Raw genomic sequence first — 20,634 nt, 5'->3', positions numbered from 1 at the left:
TGGAATGTCTTGAGCACTCCGGGCTGTGTACAAAACACAATGATAATTCAATCCCTCAATCCCAGTTTTGTACACTGGGCTGTGTACAAAACACAAAGATAATTCAATACATTTCAAGAGCTGTATTCCAAGAGGTTGTTTTCCAAACATGGAAAGAAGAGAAGGGTCTTGCTTGGCAACACTTATTTCATTCTCTTTTTACTTCTTCAGACTTAGACAGTGGTGTGCAAAGAGCCATGAACAACTGTGAGGAAAAAAAAAAAAACTAGGAATACTAGAAAAAAGTAGATGTATGACTAGGAGGAGGGCGGAGAGAGAAATCAGTAAAAAGATAAGGAATGGGGCATGGGGGTGAGAGAAGGGAAGAAGCAATGAGGAGGAAAGGGAGAATCTATATATGACTTTCTGTCTTCTGTGGCAGCCATTTGACTGGGACTTATCCAAAAAAACAGAAATCAAGGTAAGCCTTTGGGCCTTGGAAGACCTATGACTATCTAGGAATGGAATTTAGTAGCTAGAAGACTACATACGTACACTTGGCTCTCTGAGCGGATGGATGAACAGAAGGCAAGAGTTATGGTTGGAAAATATTCCACCATGACTGTTTTCATTCACCTCCATTTCTGAAAATAATTTTCCCATCAGTCCTCAAGTTTCCGTAGACACTGACTGTACATGAACAACATTGCATAAGGAAGTAAGAGATGGGTAAGACTCCTTCCATTCTCCCTATTCCCCTTCTTACAGAGTTTTGGAGTCATCCACCAATAAAGTAAGAGAAGCAAGCTACAGGAATTTTAGCTCTTTAAATAACCCTGCTGTTCCTTCCTTTTTCTAAACTTCTAAAGCATTTATGTGTCATATACTGTCTTTTCTCATTATTTAACTGGTTCAAGTGCCTTATGTGTCTTAATAAATTATAAGTTCCTTGAGGGTAGAAACCATGTATTATTTCTTTCATTTGCATCCCCCACAGTGCTCAGCACAGGATCAGAAACATCAAAAACATTCAGGAAACACTCACTGGTCTAAATATGATCAAGAGCTTTATGGGATTGCCAGTTTATTTATTTTCAATTTTAAAATTTGTCTTTATTGCCCCTCCCAAAAAATCCTCTCTCAAGGATATGAAAATTTGTATCCTGACATTAGGGAAGAAACTGAGAAAGAATTACAGTTGAAATGTCAACAATAAATTCATAAATGGATGCACTCTACTTCCTCATCTGAATAGATGGTCTACCACGCCAAAAAACATCCTGATACCTCATGATGTGAGCAGTACTAATAATAGTTTATCCTGTTGCCATGTAAACACTGAGGAGCTAGCCCATTAATAAATGTGCTGGAAATACTGATCCTGTTCTAAAAATATCACTTCCTTTTCTCTTCAAGAAGCAATTTTCCAGGTTAATACAAATATGCAAGGAGAAGTGCTGAAGTTCTTCAGGGCCACCTGGAACTCTTGTAGATCCATTAGCTGGATGTCCCAAGTTCTTCTCACACTGTGAGAACTGGACTGAGCTGTCACTGCCATTGCCGACTTACTAAACCCTCCAAAAATGCAGCAGAGTCTGAGGTCGTGATGACCACTCCTTCATGGATCCATGGCACAAATCATGAAATGAGAGAATTATTTCCCTTGAGTTTGAACTTGGCCTCAGAACTTCTCTTGAACCCCTTGACACCCTCAAGCAGCCTTGATCAAGCAGAATAAAGACTTCACAGGAAGTCTTTTCCCCATACCTGAGCTAAGGCCTTCTGATCTCCCATAAAGAGCTACTGTGAAGATCAAACTCCAAATTAGGCTGTGAAATGACCTATATTTGTCTTCTGTGACCCTTAAGCTCTCTTAACAAGAGTTATCCCCCTTGTTTCTAAACTGCCAAAGTTTCATGCTGTATGTCTTCCCCTGGCCTACCTCCCATGAATGTTCTCAGGATCTTTCTTCCTCCAACCTGGTTCTCTGTTAAGACCCTTCTTTCTTAGTTCCAAAGATAACTGCTCATTTAGGCTGACAAACTCACCAAATGTGCAAATGCTCCACAGGAACATATTTGCATTTTTGAAAGTCCCTTCTGGAAACAATGGCCGGAATGACACCAATGGGGGAAATTTCAGACCTTAATGTGAATTGGCTAGAGGAGAAATTTGGGGACCTGAAAGAGAAACTGCTCTCAGTCATATCTCCTTAATTTTCTGTCAACCCTTTTTCAACCAGTGACTGACCTGGGTCTTTTCTAGATCCATTTCAGCAAGCCTACTTAACCACCGTATAAGAACATAACCCATAAAACACCCTCAAATTCCCAACAGAAGCTAAGGTAGCTGAAAAAAGAAGTACCTGATTTCCATGGGCACATGTTAAGTGGAAAAGTTTGCTCCCTTCACCCAAAAAAAATCTTGCCTCTGCAAGCACTAGCCTGGTACCTTCCAGAAGGTGAATAAATTAACTTGCCAATACCACTTAAGGCAAATGGCTTAATGTTTTCACCAGATCTGACCAGGCCCCAACAACAAGGAGTGGGTGGAGATGAGCGTGTATTTTCATTTATTTCACGAGCCCTATTCTCTGTGGACTTGTAGTTTCTAAACCTAGGTACAAAAAAAAGCTTTAACTGCATGAGTAACTTTTGTTTTGTGGTACATTATTGTTCACTTTCAATAATGTAACTCAAAAATGACTTATAGGATTACAAGAATATGGTATAAAATTTCTAATACAATTCAATGACCCTTAAGCAAAAACATGATCACCATCAACTGAAGTTATCCTATACAATGGCAGGAAACTGTCAAGCCCAATTATGTGAAAATGCAAGAGAAATGTTTAGACAAGCTCCTCACCAAGACTTTCCATTGCTCATACAATAGAGGAGGATTAAGATCAAAACTATAATATTATATCAGTTTTATGATTATAAAATATGCTATTCAAGTTAGTTCAACGTAGCATTGTCTGTCCTAGTACATATATTAGGATAACATTATAATGTATTTCTAAGAGGCAAATCACAGAAGCCACTTACCAATCAAAATGTGTAACTCCAGGTGAAGCTAGACAAAATTATTGATACAAATTTTCTCCAGAAGAGTGATTTAGGAATGCAAAATACTCTAGACACACCACCCATCCACAGTTGGTGTGTCTTGCTTTATTAGATGCAATCCATTTCCTCAGACACTTGTTCAATTGAGGTCTTGTAAAACTATTAGATTAGCATTGGGCATATAGTAAGTGCACAAAGAAATTTGTTGTTGTTGTTGTTGTTGTTGTTGTTGTTGTTGTTGTTTTGAGACGGAGTCTCGCTCTGTCACCTAGGCTGGAGTGCAGTGACGCGATCTTGGTTCACTACAAGCTCTGCCTCCCGGGTTCACGCCATTCTCCTGCCTCAGCCTCCCGAGTAGCTGGGACTACAAGGGCCTACCCCCGTGCCCAGCTAATTTTTTTTTGTATTTTTAGTAGAGACAGGGTTTCATGAAAGAATGAATGAGTGAATTGTTGGATAGACTAAGTATCTTCAATAAATGCAGAAAATGCCAGTGTAGAACCATATTACACTTTCTTCAAAAATGCTATTCTACTCTGCTTGTTAATTATCTCCTTAAGATAATTTCACTTTTTTAAATGTTTTAAGGCATTTGTTTTACTAGCAATGAATTAAATGTTAGTTAAGAATCTGCACGTCTAATCCATTTAGATATAGCATGTATTTTCTTCCTAGTTCATACATCTCATAAAATGCAAAAAAAAAGTATAATCCTGCTAGCATAAGTCATTAGCAGACAAAGATAAAAACTCATGAGCTCTGTGTTTTATTTTATCTCACATTCTGCTTCATAGTCCAACCAAGTTTCATAATGAAAATTTTTCTCAGCCGACGCCTCAAATGCTTTATTCTTCAAATACAATTGATTTGACCAATATCGCTGTGGTTTGGAAATGTTTTTCTTCCTGTTGGTCTCTGCCATGATCTCCTCTGGATATAGTTCAATTAGATGCCTTCTCACTTTTTCACAAGTTGCCTGTTATTGTAAAAGTTTGGGAAAACTTTGAAAAAGAACTATAAAACGTTTTCACTGTCAATAGAAAAAAATGGATTGCTTGAGCCAGACACAGCTCCCCATAGAGCTAACCTTTTGATCCTGGAATCCTTTCATGCGCTTAAGTCTTCACTAGCGTCAATGGGAGTGTTGTGTATGCAAGGGCAGCAGGATCAAGTTCAGTCTCTTCTTTAGTACTCTGTAGCCAAGTGGGGTAGCCAGCTGAATCTGGTTTAGTTAAAAAAAAAAAAAAAAAAAAAAAAACACAACACTTTCCTGATGCTTTGAAGTTTTTTGGGCAGTGTAATAATATCAGGATTTGTAGGACGTTATTTTGCATAATCCTTAATAAGATATTCTTATGGCTTCAAAAAGTTAGTGGGTTAAGAGAAGCAAGAACCTCCAGCACTCATAGGAAATATTTTTTTAAGTTCTGGGTAGAAATGGCTCAAAATGCATCTCGGGAAGATACATAATTATAAGACTGTCCAAATGTGTGTTCAGGCAGGAATGCACCTAAAACTATTCTTCATAGATGGATTTCTACTCTATCTTTAAAAGATAGAGATATAATATAATAATCTCTCAAAAGCTCTGATGAAAACAAAGAAGCTTGCTGGAGGATTCTACTATGTGTGTGGATTAAGTAACTCTGTGACTAATCCAACTATTTGAATCAAAACAAGGCATTCCTTTAGAATCTTTATCACTCTAACCTCACACTCACTCACTGATGAGGACTTTTTTCCAGGCAAGGTCAAAGGGCTGACCAAGGTGATTCTGCACCACCAAATAGAAAGGAGGCTGGAGAAGGGAGAAGTGCAGCGGCAGGATACAGAAGCCACAAAATCTCTCTGCTGGAAGCCAGTTCACCTTATTATTACCAAGAAACTGAGGTTCACTTTCTGGCATTTTGGCCTGAGCATTAAAATTTTAAATTAACACCATTGAACACAACCTACTCTTTTTTTTAATGAGCATTTTATTGTCACTTTGTGGAAGGGTACTGAAACCTCTGATTTAGTATAATCATATGATTATGATTTATTCATATTGGGAATTCAGCAGCATGGGCAACAACAACTCGGGTCTGGGGGGAAAAAAAACAGCCTCACTAAATAAGGGATGGTCCCACCACTAAATATGGGGTTAGGAGTGAGTTTCTCTTTGGTTAAATACACATGCACACATATTTCAGTAGCACGACAAAGCGAAAACAAACAGAATAAAGGTGAACATTGTACTTGGTAGTTGGAAATGAAGTGTGTCATTTTAATATATATGAATAACTGATTTTTCCCCACTTTTTGGAATCCAGATGTTGGTAATCTTTGCCTCAGAATGACGATTGCCTTTTTAAGAAATCTCTTAAAACTTTAGTAGTGGTCCTCACACAAAAAGACACTGGGTCTGGGCACGGTGGCTCATGCCTGTAATCCCAGCAATTAGGGAGGTTGAGGCAGGCAGATTACCTGAGGTCAGGATTTCGAGACCAGCCTTGCCAACATGGTGAAATTCTGTCTCTACTAAAAATACAAAAAAAAAAAAAAAAAAAATTAGCCAGGTGTGGTGGCGCATGCCTGTTATCCCAGCTACTCGGGAGGCTGAGGCAGGAGAATCGCTTGGACCTGGGAGGTGGAGGTTGCAGTGAGCTGAGATCGTACCACTGCACTCCTGCCTGGGTGACAGAGTGAGACTTCATCTCCAAACAAAAAAAAAAAGACACCGACCTAGAGGTAAAAATATTCAAATTCCCTACGTTGCTACCTCTGACAAATGAGAACTACGGGTCCACACAAGTTCACTTATCAGTATACCCACCTAAAAGATGCATCTTTCCCTGTTTGGGGGCATATGATAGAATTATAAAAGTAAATGACTTCATTAAGATAAAATAGGTCTCTGGTGTTTCAAGACAAAACCACTGGACAAAGAACAGACAATGCATAAAAGAAATACCTAATGGCCAATAAATATACAAAGAGATGCTCAGCCTTGCTTGTAATGTAAATAATGCAAGGAAAACCAGTACAGCAATTTTTCTATCAGGATGGCAAACTCTAAAAGACTGACAGCAATGTAGGCATGCAGGGGAATGTGCGGAAACAAACACCTTTGTGTATTGCTGATGATAATGTAAATTTGTATGACTTGAGCATAAACTCAGCCAACTCAGCAAGTTTATCACTATCAAATTGTTAAATGTTTCCACCTTTTGACCCAACTTTTAAGGTTTCCTTAAACAGATAATTGTACATGTGAACAAAGAAGATGCAAAAACATATTAATTGCCATGTGATTTATAATAGTGAAAAACAGAAAATAAATTATGTCCACTAATAGAAGATTGGTTAAATAAATTATTGCTCATTCATTCAACCATTGGTTGAGGGCCTACTGAGTGCCAGATAGTATTCTATATACAATATATATAATGCATCCATTAAAATAATGATGTAGATCTATAGTGATTAGTATGGAAAAGGTTACAAAAGTTTGTATTGTATTTTTTCATTTTGTAAGAGTATGTATATATTTACTTATATATATTTATATGTGAATATATATGCATTGAGAATCATCTGTAAAGATGACCACCAATATGTTATATTACCCATGGTTATCTCTAGGATTGTTGTTGTTAGTATTGATCTTTATGAGAGTCATCTGTAAGGATGATCACCAATATGTTATACTACTAGTGGTTATCTCTGGGACTGTTGTTATTATTGATCTTTATATTTTTCAATACTGCTTGAATATTTTTACAATAAAGCTATATAATCTTCATACTCTAAAAATATTAGGAAAATTTTTGAAGGAAAAAAGAAACCTTTTGGTCAATTTAATCTTATTAATATGCAGGAGAAAATACCACACAGCCACAGAATTCCAGAAATCCAGCTGCAGTTCTAAGAAGTAAGACGCAAAAGCAGATGCTTGCCCACAGGATGAGGTAAACAGGGACGAAGCACAACGGTTCCATAGAGCTGAAATGCACAATGCAGCTGAATGTACTCTACTAAACTCGAAATCCAGGCCAGCAAAGTCTCCGAAGACTGCAAAGGCTAAAAACTAATAACAATAAACATATCATACACAGGGCTTTTATATAACTTGGAGGTCATTTGCATTGAAACATTGGTCCTTTAACAGTCTATAATGTTCCTAACTCTACATATTATTCCTCTTCCTTTAAAAAATAATTTTCCATGCACCCTCCCCATCCTCTTAATCCTACAAGACAGTTTTCAGTCTGAGCAGGTGGGGAATGCATATCCCAGTTTAAAGGCTAAAATACACTTGGCTTTACCTGATTTATGTTTATCTTAGCCAGAGTATCAAGTGCATATCAATAGCACTATCGTAATGCACATATATTTCCTTATTCTGCCATAATAAGTAGAATCAACAGGATGTGCATTGTAAAGGTAGATAGAGAAACCATAACACAGAGTGATATACCAGACAGAACTCATGCTAGAAATTCTCCCATGAATCTGAATACATGAATAGCTGGCTCAATATGAGCAACAACACAGAAACCTACAATCATATCCGATCTTTTTTCTGCTAGGAATGAACATTCACAGATTTCTCATGTTAAATGCTTGCAGCAATTTCTTAAAAGCCAGGACTTCCACTGTGAGAGGTGTACTACATATTCAACTTTGAATTTTTTAAGTTTTTGTTATGCTGTTATTTAATCTTACTGGGTTACATTACATTTTTCTACCTTGTACTATGTATGCACATAAAACAGCTGCTTTCTGAAATCCATATAAACTTCTGCTCCAGGTCTTTAAGATGGAATCAAATCCCAGCAGTAAGCAAACACCTTGCTTTTCACGGTTTTTACGATAAAAATTGAAAACGAAACTTGAAGACATTTGGTTCAGTCAAACGGAACAAACAAAGCAAGTACTATAGTCTGGTGTCTTTTATTAGGCCAACTTTGAGTTCTGAACACTCAGCTCTCTTGACTACACAGGAGTCTTAAGAACACGTGTTCATATGCACATGTATCTAACTTTACCATGGACTCATAAAATGCATCAAACATTCTACTTTTGTTACTTTCAAAAAACTGTTTTAAGGAATCAGGATAACCAGCCAGGGGATTTTTAAAAACTGAGAAAAATCTTCCGTGGCATATGACCTTTCTGATTAGAGAAAGGGCATATACAGAGGGTTGGCCAAGCTTCAGGTGGCCATTGTTAGTGAAGCCAAAAGACTTCAGTTAACTGTGTTACCTGTGCCAGAAGCACCAGGCTCCCTCTGGTTTCTCCAACTTACTCCCCATTTGTTATATTCTTTAGGCAAAAACTCCAACCTGAAGTACTCTGCTAGTGTTCGTAAAAACAAATTAGGCTGTATAGATCTGAGTGTCTTGCAAAAGCAAAGAAAATTTAGGAAGTCCCAAAAATATCAGACTGACCTATGTATTTTTCGGACATTCACCAAGTTAGTGAGAATAGGTCTGGTTACCCCTATTGGGCAAGGAAATGGTAACAGTTCAGGTTTCTGGGATTTACATTAATAGTTCAAAGTTAGACAGTGGAGTGGGAGACAGAGTGCAAGTCCTCTCCTTGCCTGCCAAAGCACGTCCTCACTGTGGTTGCTTCTTTAAGAATCTTTGTGAATGAAGCATTAAATGAAATGATTAAAAGAGAAAGAATACACCATGTTCATTATTCTGACGCTGCACAGTAAAAGTTACTTTCATTTTCTTTAATCACATTTTTGTAGAATGGTATCAGAAGTTTAAAACAGTCTAATCTCAAACTTCTTAAATAGTTGAAAGAAAAATCTCTAGGATAACAACTGAAGTAGTATAATCTTTTCTTATAACTGTTCAGGAATAAAAGGTTTATGTTTGCTTGTGTGTGTGTGTGTGTGTGTGTGTGTGTGTGTTCATAATCAGTGATTCATACTGAATCAATACCTTTTGTGGTTTTATTGAAATAATATGTTTGAAGTAATCAAGAAAATTTTTAACCTCGATTCAAATTTCAATACTTAAAGCTTAGTAAATTATTTATAACTTCTGTGCATTCAAAGGGAACAACCAAAAGATGAAAAGATAACCTATGGAATGGGAGAATTCACAAATCATATATCTGATAAGGGGTTAATATCCAGAATATCTAAGAAACTTGTGTTTTTACAACAACAACAAAAAAAACACCTGATTTAAAAATGTACAAAAGACTTGAATAGACATTTCTCCAAAAAAGATACACAAATGACCAACAAGCACAGGAAAAGATACTCAGCATCACTAATCATAAGAGAAATGCAAATCAAAACCACAATAAGATATCACTTCACACTCATTAAGATGGTCACTATCAAAAGAACAGAAAATAACAAGTATTAGTGAGGATGGGGAGAAATTGGAATCTTTGTGCACTGTTGGTGGGAATGTAAAATGGTGCAGTCATTATGAAAAACTGTATGGAGTTCCCTCAAAAAGATTAAAAATAGAACTACCATATAATCCACAAAGATATTACGCAAAGCAAAGCAAGCCAGTCTCAAAGGACAAATATTGTATTATTCCACTCAAATGAAGTATATAAAGTAGTTAAAATCATACAAACAGAAAGTAGAAAGGGAGTTCCTAAGGGCTGGCAGGGAGGAGAGAGGGAATCGGTGTTTAGTGGATATAGTTTCTGTTTTGCGTATTGAAAAAGGTCTAGAGATCTGCTGCACAACAATATGAATATACTTAACACTAGTGAAATATACATTGTAAATGGTTAAAATGGGCAGGCACAGTGGCTCATGCCTGTAATCCCAGCAGTTTTGGAGGCCAAGGCAGGAGGATCGCTTGAGACCAGGAGTTCAAGATCAGCCTTGGCAACATGGAGAGACCCCATTTGTACAAAAAATTAAAAAATTCGCCAGGCCTGGGGGCATGTGCCTGCAGTCCCAGCTACTCAGGAGGCTGTGGTGGAAGGAGGATCACTTGACCCCAGGAGGTCAAGGCTGCAGTGAGCCATGTTCGTACCACTACACTCTAGCCTGGGCAACAGAGTGAGACCCTGTTTCAATTTAAAAAAAAAAAAGAAAAGTTAAGATAGTAAATTTAATATTGTGGAATTTTTTACCACAATTTAAAAAACGCTTCAATCTAAAAAAAAAAAGGAATGTATTGTCAACATCTTTTAGGTTATGTCTAAATAATGAACTAAATTTAAAAAACAGAGTTCAATTCTTTGAAAAATATTTTACTAACATATTGTTTGACAAAAATAATAAATGCACTGAGATGTTTTTGTTAACATGATTATATTATACTTAAATTCTTGTGGTAAGTATAATACTATATTTATGTCATGGCAATATAATTTTGGGATTATTAAGCCTAGAAGTCCAGAAAAACTCATCCACTGTGTTAAACTAAATGATCTCTCCAACATTCCATCTGAGTCCAAAATCCCATAATCCTTATCCATTTATTAATAAGAACTAAATGGAACACTTCTTCCATTTTTTAGAGACACACATACACTTCTATATCTCAAAAGCTTAAAGGAGCAGTTTACATGAACACATAGAAGGTATAGTGTTGAGGAAAAACGTTTGAAGTCTTAAAAAAAAATTACAAGGGCACTTCATATTTCATAGGCCTCACCCTTACTCACTGAAATATTCTTTGAGGGAGATCTTATGTATGTTTTAGCTGGTTGAATTTTTTAACCTCCTTCCCATCCCTGCTCCAATCACTACTTACCACCAAATAACAATTAGATATCAAGAAAACTAAGCCTGTGACAAGGTGAACACTGGCTCTGCCTCTGCTGAAACAGTCAAAGGCATGAACTAGCCTGGCTCTTCTCCATATCTTTTCTGGCTGAGGTCCAGTTGGCTTGGTGTAGACTCAAAGGACCAGCAAAGAGCTTCCACAGGTCATCTGGTTGATTCTCCAGTAACTTAGGCAAGCCTCCACCTATCTAAACCATCCCTTCCACACCAGTCCCTGTCTTATTTCCAAAGATCTCCAGAAAAAGAGATGCCATGGTAATGCATTCTAATGTTTAACAAACCTCACCACTGGGAAATCCTTTATTTCCAAGCTAGCTCCCCGCTGCAGAAGTTAAAGATAATTTCCTTTTGTTCTCTTCTCAGCGGCAGGAGAACAGCTGGTCGCCAGTCTCCATATAATAACCTTTCATATACTTGAAAACTTTTATTAAGCCACCCACTAGTTTCTCTTTTCCAAGCTGAATAATCCTAGCTCCTTTAACCTTTCTTCATAAGTCTTATTTTTCCAACCTTTTAATCAGTTTTGTTCTCCCCACTGTATTCTCTTCTTGCTCTAATTTATGTAAAAGCCCTAGACTACTGGAAGTGAAATCTGAGCTGTTAAGGCACTGAAGTGGACTGGAGAGGTAGTTCGAGGCCTGTGAAGCAGGAGCTAGAGATGGCAAGCTGGGATGACACAGAAAAAACTGGAGAAAGAATTCACATAGTCAAGATAGTCTTAGGAGTGGTCTTAACAGCCATTCTGAATTTCCCCTGATTTCTTGCAGAGTCATCATATTTCCGAAGCTGTCATTGGATAACATTACATCCAGCTTTAAATTCTGTGAATGTCAGTCTTGACCAACATTTGGAGAACATGTTTTCCAAGGCACCCTTCAGTACAACTTTAGACTGCAATAAAATAGGTCATACTGGCTGACTCAGAAGAATGCAAATCTCCAGTAACTCATCAGCTAATAAATGCGGAACACAAATATTAAACAAACACCAAGACACATGATTTGACTCTATCCCAGTCTTTCATCAAGAGATAGGGCATAATAATGTCTGAGACAAACATTCCTTGTTCTGAGATGGTCTGACACGCACTGCAGTTTTGATCTAAATCCCAGGTGGCAGAAAGTCCTGAAAATGTCAAGGTGTTTAAGAGCACCCTGAGTTCCTGCGCCCCAAAGGAAGCGTGCCATTTGTAACTCACCAAGAGTTTTCTTTACGAGTGTTTTTTTTTCTATTTTTATTAAATAAGAATCCATGAATAAATGTATTCAGATGCATAAAGTTAAACTTTTTACTCTTGATTATGACAGGAGAGTACAGAGAAAGAAAAAAGGAAGGAAAGATAGAAGAAAAGACAGAAGGAAAGAAGAAAGGAAGGTGGGAAGGAAGGAGGGAGGGAGATGGGAGGAAAACAAGGAAATAAAGAGGAAGAAAGAAAGTTGGGTTTTGCAAAATTAAAAATGAAACCTTTCCTACTTTGTGGCCTCAATAAGGTTAAACATCTTGGCAAAATTCTACTTCTATTACGCCCATTTTAACAAAGACAAAGTGGAGTGTTTTAAAGTTCTCATTTCTCAAATACAGTATTTCTACCCCAGTCATTTTTTTAGGGCATAATTTTTCCCCAAACAGAGTTTAGTTTGTATTTCTCAACTGTAAATCAAATTATATTCTTCAGGACCAAAGCAGGCTGCCTTAACAGTTGTATGCATGTCCCTGCATACATCTGTGAGTTGTGTGTGTATTTAAAATGTGTCTTTAATTAACCATCCCATTGTGTTCAACGAGTTGGTCTTAGCCACTGATTGAAAGGCACTGAGTTGCTTATCAAAAACAAATTGTTGCCATCTGTATAATAAATGACGAATGGTATTAACACCATAATGAAATTCAGAAATCAAGATTGATAAGGAGAGGGATATTTTTGATACCCAAAGTTTGCTTTTTTCCCCCCTTCCAACCTCCAGGTACTGAAAGAAAGTCGGACAGCAAATTGCACAGATGGGCTCTTACCTCCTGCTGCAGAGCAGGAGGTAGTGAAGGTCTTGACAGGGACATTTACATTGCAATGTAGAATCCAGGGGTGCCAGATGTAGAGTGGGCTCCTTTTATGTGTCTTCTGGCCTGACTCCTCTGACTCCCACCACTGTAAACTGAAGTGGATAGCACAGGACCTGGCACATAGTCGACATAGCCATGTTCAAATAAGCATTTGCTGAGTAAATGAAGACAAAAAGTCAGTTTCTGAATCTCATGTTATATTGGCACCAATATTTTTCTGTAGATGGAAAAATTAAGACAGAGGAATAAAAGGCCTATCTGTACAGCACAAACTGAATGCAGTGACAAGGTGATCTTTTTATCCAGTTGTATTGTGATCATCTGATCTAATGAAGATGTCATGGAGTGTTAGGAGCCCACTTTGAACTGCTTGGTTACAGTGCTATTTATTAGAAGTATATAAAGCATGTATTGTCATGACCTAAGTTACCTGCCTAGAGTAATTCAGGATACTAATTGCACAGGGCCAAGAATCTAATGCAAGCATCCTGCATTAGGGTTGTACCTGTTCCCCATTATATCATGATCTCGGTTCCTTTGTGACTAGTTATGGCTGTATTCCATTGTCATAAACTGAACCCCCACAGTGGAGTGCTATATTAAAATGGTATTGGCCATATATCAAAACATTGCCTATTTGTGAACTTTCTTTCCTTAAAAAAAAAGCATAGCAATAACTGAAGTGTATCTTCAGAGTCACAAAATCTAAAGATCAAGAAACTTACAACTAAAATGTAACACATGATTTGTCTTCATGGATTTAATGAATGGCTTATTACTAATGGTGGTAAATCAACAATGACTCTTTCCCTAGGACCAGGGGCCCTACCCACTGATCTTGGGCACTTTTCTCCTCCCTCCCTAACAAGGATTTTTAGACGCTCAATCAAAACAGACTCTAGTTCCTGGAATACAAATCACAACGTTCGATAATATGTTACCATTCCCAAAGGACTTTATATTTTAATAAGAGAGGAAATCTAAGTCAGCTAGTTTCTAAATTTAAGAAAAGGAATAAATTATTAATCTATGAGTTCATCATGACAAATAAAAATAGAAATACCGTATAGTGGAACTTATAACTTCCCAGGATTCTTTACAAAGTCTCATTAGAAAAGTCAAAGATGATCAAGGCACCAGAGAATCTGGATGACCTTTTTCCCCATACTCTGAAAGGAATGTCCTGGACTCAAATTGAGATAAAAACTGGTACAATAATGATGAAAAATGTGCCTTAAGTTTTGACTAGTTCAGAGTGGGAAAAGGTCAGAGAAGGGCCTCTCATACACATTTTACAGGAATGTAAAACAGGATGACCTTTCTGTAGGGAAACTGGCAATATCAAAAGCCACACGTACGTCCCAGTGGACTCAGGACTTCATCCTAGGGAAATAATCAAAGATGCACCCAAAGATTTGGATACAAGATATTATGCAACCCTTTTTAAAACAAAATAAAATAACTTCAACCAACCACAATGTCCAGCAATAGGTGATTGATTAAATAAAAACAGACATCCGGTCGGGTGCGGTGGCTCATGTCTGTAATCCCAACACTTTGGGAGGCTGAAGCAGGTGGTTCATGAGGTCAGGAGTTCAAGACAAGCCTGGCCAATGTGGTGAAACCCCATCTCTACTAAAAAATACAAAAAAATTAGCCGGGCATGGTGGCATGCACCTGTAATCCCAGCTGCTCAGGAGGCTGAGGCAGGAGAATCGCTTGAACCCATGAGGCAGAGGTTGCAGCGAGCCAAGATCACACCACTGCACTCCAGCCTGGGCAATAGAGCTAGACTCCATCAAGAAAAAAAAAAAAAAAAACAGACATCCATAGTGGGAATCACTGTGGAGCCATTACTGTGAACTAGCTAGGGCAGTAGATATTAACTAGAAAATACCTCCTCACTCCCAGTAATGCAGCATGAAAGATCACAGAGTGCAGAGTAGTGTGAATGGAATGGCCTGATTTAAGTAAAAAACTCTCACATATGGCCATACATACATATTTAAATACTTACATCTATTACATTTATGAACTTACACCTATTACACGTATATACTTACATCTATTACATGTATATACTTACATCTATTACGGACCTTAAGAATATACCTCAAACTATAAATGGACTTCCCTACAGGGAATGTGACTGAGAAAGAGAGAGTGGGTTGGCAGAATGCAGGGAGAGAGAAAGTTTAATTTTCTGCTTCATAAAATAAAACTACATATATATAATTATAATTATATATAAGTATATGTAATTCAAAAACAAAAATTAAAAGCCTTTAAAAACCATCTTTTGGAATAAAGACATGGGAAGCAACTCACAATGTTTCCCCAAGTGAAAAAAACAGAAACAGCCGGGCGCGGTGGCTCACGCCTGTAATCTGAGCACTTTGGGAGGCTGAAGCAGACAAATCACTTGAGGTCAGGAGTTTCAGACCAGCCTAGCCAATATGGTGAAACCCCATCTCTACTAAAAATACAAAAATTAGCCAGCCATGGTGCCACGCTCCTGTAATCCCAGCTACTCAGGAGGCTGAGGCAGGAGAATCGTTTGAACTTGGGAAGCAGAGGTTGCAGTGAGCCGAGATCACATCATTGCACTCCAGCCTGGGCATTGCAGTGAGACTCCCTCTAAAAAAAAACAAAAAGAAAACAAACAAAAAACAAACAAACAAATGATAGAAAAACTATGATTCCAACTTTGTAAAAATAAATCATACATGGCATAGAATATAAGAGAAATACAGAGAACCAAAAGGAATGGAAACATCAAAATATTGCTAGTTAGTTCTGAGTGGTGAGATTAAGATCGATTTTTTTTGAGTTTTATAAACTTTCTCAGTGAACATGGATTACCAGTATAACGGATAAAAACATTAAATATTATTAAGACACAAATTTTTAAAAACTGTAGGTTCAATAAGTTGATGGCATTTGCTTTTCTAATACTGTTAGGACTTCAACCTTCTGACATTGACATTTGCTTTTAAATACTAAGCAGGGTTACTCTGAAGCTTAAGATGTCAAATTTTTACAGATGAGTTTGCAATTTAGCTCACTATGTTGTGCATGTTCTAATAAAGACCTAAACTGTTCAATGATGGTAGAGACCTTATGTAGCAGGCCAACAAAACTGAAGTCCAAAGAGTTAAAGTGATTTTCCAAAAGCACAAATCTTTTCATTTAATGGAAGAGCTGAGAGGAGAATGATTCTAACTCCCAGTCCAGTGTTTTTCCATGACATGATGCAGCTATGTTTCGGATGAGAATCACTGAAACCACAACAAAAATAGCACTTTAAGAAATGTACAGCATAATGGTCAATGGATAAAATTTGTATGTAGCTTCACAGAGAACTGTTAAGTCCAGCAAAATACCAGGTTCCACTATCAAAATGCCACTGGCTTTTCTGAGAATTATATCTAGAGAAATGATTAGATTTGACCTAAAAGGATACTTAAGGGAACTTAATTTTTATTCTAATAGTAACACAATTCAAAGCTGAAATGAACACATCTGGTTTCATTTTCTTTACTGATTAGGATAACTAGAGATTCTGAGACATCATGCATGACTCTGTCCTTTATTTGATATGCAAATAAATTCCTGGCTTGAGTGTAAATCTTCTACTTTCAGTGGTGCCCCTCATAACTAATTATTTTTTATATCCCTTCCTGGGTCCAAAAAAAAAAAAAAAAAAAAGCTTGAGGTATAGTTATTCAATAAGAAAGGCATCCTTCCCACAAAATGCCTACAGGCACAATTCTCCAAAAAAGGAGAAAAAAAGTAGGCCTTAATTAATTAGAATCCAGATCACTGGGATAATTGCCAGTTCTGCTTTGTTTCCACCCTTCCCCAAAGGTTGTGACCCAAATCCAAGGATAAAAGGCCAAATGGAGGGAAGGAGGGGACCACATGGCAGAGGGGTCAATTTCTATTGTAACTATGAAGCAGACCCATTTATTAAGAGCCACGTAATGTGTTAAATGATATTCAAAGATTACCAGAATCAGGTTGTTCTCAATGGGACCAGACCCCAGAAACTATTCTCACACTGCCTGACTCACATTAAACATCCCCTACACACATACACACCCTCCAAAACAAACAAAAACATCCATAACCTTCATCCCTCTCATTAATCAATCGAGTTTGATATAACAGGATATTGGGCACTTTCACCTTTGCTAATGAAAACTTTGCTTTGTACCACAAAGCCAAACATGTTTTCTTTTTTTTTTTTTGAGACGGAGTCACTCTGTCACCCAGGCTGGAGTGCAATGGCGCAATCTCGGTTCACTGCAACCTTTGCCTCCCGGGTTCAAATGATTCTCCTGCCTCAGCCTCCTGAGTAGCTGGGATTACAGGAGTGAGCCACCACGTGTGGCTAATTTTTGTATTTTTAGTAGAGATGGGGTTTCACCATGTTGGCCAGACTGGTCTTGAACTCCAGACCTCAGGTGATCTGCCCTCCTCACCCTTCCAAAGTGCTGGGATTACAGGTGTGAGCCACCGAGCCCAGCCAAACATGTCATTCTTGATCTCAGCGATGAACTACAATTGCTTGGGACATGTCGCAAGCAATCCTCATACTTACAGGGGCTTAATGCCTATCTTTTCTTCACAGGACATCCCGTCCTAGTTGCGAACTATGCACATAATTGACTGACAGATTCAGAGAACAAGAGTGTGGCTATGCATTCATTCATGTCAGGCAACATGACGTTTTAAGAAATGGGGACCTGGAAGCCCCTCTCCCTCAGTTTTATTTCATCAGACCTAGATATAAATGATAGTTCCATCTGAACTAGAGAAAGACACCAAGAAGAAAACTTGGTAATGGGGTACAAATATATCCCTTTCCACAGTCAAGTATCATAGTCTCACTTCACAATATTCCTAAATTTGAGGCGGAGGAAGTATAATCCAGAATATACAGTACCTTAATTTATTTAAGCAAGCAGAGATTAAATCAATGGGGAAGAAGTGATCCACAAATCACAATTAACTGCTGTTTAACTTTTAAAGTAAATAAACAAACTTGCCAGCTCATATAGCCAGATTTTTATTTATTTATTTATTTATTTTAGAGAGACAGGGTCTCACTCTGTCATCCAGGCTGGAGTACAGTGGCACAATCATAGCTCATTGCAGCCTCCAACTCTTGGGCTCTAGTGATCCTCCCATCTCAGCCTCCTGAGTAGCTGGGCCTACAGGTGTGCACCACCACGCCCAGCTCTTTTTTGTTGTTTTGTTTTGTTTTGTTTTGTTTTGTTTTGTTTTGTTTTGTTTTTGAGATGGAGTCTTACTCTGTCGCCCAGGCTGGAGTGCAGTGAGGCAATCTCGGCTCACTGCAAGCTCCGCCTCCTGGGTTCACGCCATTCTCCTGCCTCAGCCTCCCCAGCAGCTAGAATTATGGGCGCCCACCACCACACCCGGCTAATTTTTTGTATTTTTAGTAGAGACTGGGTTTCACCATGTTAGCCAAGATGCTCTTGATCTCCTGACCTTGTGATCCGCCCGCCTCAACCTCCCAAAGTGCTGGAGTTACAGGCGTGAGCCACCACACCCAACCTCATTTTTTTTTAAGTTTTTGTAGAGATAGGGTCTAACTATGTTGCCCAGGCTGGTCTTGAACTCCTGACCTCGGGCCAACCTCCAACCTCGGAATTGGTGCTAGGATTACAGACATGAGCCACTGTGCCCGGCCAGATTTTTAAAAATATGTTCTGCAACCTACTTGTATGAGATAAGGGCAGATGAACAGCATTCAGAATAACAGCAGAATTATAATCAAATAGGCGACTGCCAGGTTATGCCACTAAATTTGTATTAAGCCCAATCCCTATACTTTCTACATGCCTGATGCTCCAGAGTAACAATTGTCATTCATAACCCATTGAAGTTCACAGCAGTAATTGTGGTATCCTAAAATGCCTATTAAAAAAGTCAACTAGATTAAATTATATTTAGTATAGTTATACCAATCAATATATCTCATATTTTTTATCATATGTTAACTAATTATAAACTGGCAAGTCACACGTAACGCATCTAATTAGTCAAAAATAGTTCAATACTGACCGTTTAAAACCACACCTGTCTTAGTACAAATATGACAAGTAAAACAGAGATACAGAGCCACACTGACAACCAGGAAGCTATCAGTGCTGCACTGTCTCATCATCCGATATTACATACCGAAATATTTAAGTATTTCCAAATTTTTCCATCAATCCAGATAGCACATCCCTAAATAAACATCAACAATGTCCTAAGTGCAGAAATCAAGCTGGTTTTTCTTATCCTGGATTCCAGAATGTTCTGACCACTGCCCTACCACCACCACCCTCTCCCACACACAGACATTTTCACCCTTTGAGACACTGCAGTGTGAGGAAGAGAATGGAGAAAGAAAGGGAAGTCTCATGACTTCTGAAGTTGAAAGAGGAATTATGTTCTGAAAAGGAGAAAGAAGATGACAGTTTTGCTTAATTCAAATATTGAGTAAATATTGTTGCTTAATCATTTTTTAAAAGAAACATTAGTGGCTATTTTTTTGGCACAACTGTTTTTAAATTTAATTTATAAGGATGACACCATGATGTAATTGAAACTTGTATCACACACAAAAATCACTTTGCCCCTCACGCATAACAACATCCTGCTCCCCCAAACCCAAATCATACCTTTCATAATACGGCCTTAACCTGTGTCCTTAAATACAAAGCAACCTAAATGCTAAAGTGAAGAGCCTAACACAGCTAAACTGGGAAAAACATGAGGTGGAAATGTATCTCCCTTGGAAAAGTAAGTAAAATGTATGTTAAGGAAATGGGTAATTCAGGGAACCCAAATATTCAAACAAATTCCCAGATGTTTGTGCTGCTGTCTGAACGTTTTAAAGAGGAAACAGCTTTTCATTACTTCATGAATCCTCCCTCATTGTGAAGACGATTTCAAAGCCTCCAGCATTTAAAAGGGAAAGTCCGTTCTCAGAGTCGTCGGATTCCCGCTGTGTCTCAGGCACCACAATGTTCCAGAAACTCACGGAAAAAGCTCAGGCCTGTAAACATGTCTGATCTGGATCTCCCACTCCTAAGTCTGTGTTTATATATTGATAATTAAGATGGATTTATGAAGCTCAAATAATATCACATTTCATATTTCTCTAATCAGTATCTCAAAACAATTCAAACAACAGTTATTTTAACATTAACAGCATGGGGAGGACAGCCACGAATCCCCACACCTTCCCCTGGCCATCACATGCTTGCACCGGGAAGTTGTAACTAGCTCTGGCAGTGCCAATGAACAAACGCGGTTAAAAATCAAGCAGAAAACGGCTGAATGTGCACGCTCAGCTACATGATTTTCACTGTCTAAAACTGGGAAAAAAAATCTCAAACAATTTTCACCCAATTTGGCTTGCCTTTCTCGTCTGTAAATTGCAATACTGCCAAGTTACAAGTAAAATATTCTGCCAATTTCTCAGTTTTGTGAGCAAAGAAAAAAAAGAAAGCATACTTTCCCTAATGGAATAAAGTGTGTGTCTCTGTGTTTGTGTGTGTCTGTGTGTGTGTGTGTGTGTGTGTATTTATATTTGATTAATTCAACATCATATGGGACTCCTGTCCAAATTTTTCAAAATACACATACACACACATACTTTGTGTCAGATCATGAAAAGTAAATCTCAAATCCAGATTGAACTCAGAGGGACTAGGAGAAATATTGTTTGTACCTCACTTTCTA

At 37.9% G+C, this 20,634-nt stretch overlaps 1 long non-coding RNA gene across 1 annotated transcript in view, besides 2 other annotated features; it reads right to left on the bottom strand.

Moving 5' to 3' along the window:
* Window positions 1–20,634, bottom strand: part of DLEU1 (deleted in lymphocytic leukemia 1) — a 446,475-nt gene that overhangs the window by 367,545 nt on the left and 58,296 nt on the right. The gene's annotated exons all lie outside the window — the stretch shown is intronic.
* Window positions 8,032–8,081: an enhancer, noted in NCBI's record as "active region_7760". NCBI's record gives its function as "activates an Ori minimal core promoter by ATAC-STARR-seq in GM12878 lymphoblastoid cells {active_cell/tissue: GM12878}" and the evidence as "EXISTENCE:reporter gene assay evidence [ECO:0000049][PMID:35858748]".
* Window positions 19,542–20,215: an enhancer, noted in NCBI's record as "OCT4-NANOG hESC enhancer chr13:50715020-50715693 (GRCh37/hg19 assembly coordinates)". NCBI's record gives its function as "activates a minimal SCP1, AML or CMV promoter by ChIP-STARR-seq in primed H9 embryonic stem cells {active_cell/tissue: H9 hESC(primed)}" and the evidence as "EXISTENCE:reporter gene assay evidence [ECO:0000049][PMID:30033119]".

This window comes from Homo sapiens, chromosome 13, assembly GCF_000001405.40.
Source record: "Homo sapiens chromosome 13, GRCh38.p14 Primary Assembly".
Taxonomy (NCBI): Eukaryota; Metazoa; Chordata; class Mammalia; order Primates; family Hominidae; genus Homo; species Homo sapiens.
The sequence above is the reverse complement of the archived record's forward strand: the minus strand, read 5'-3'. Positions and strand labels throughout refer to the sequence as shown.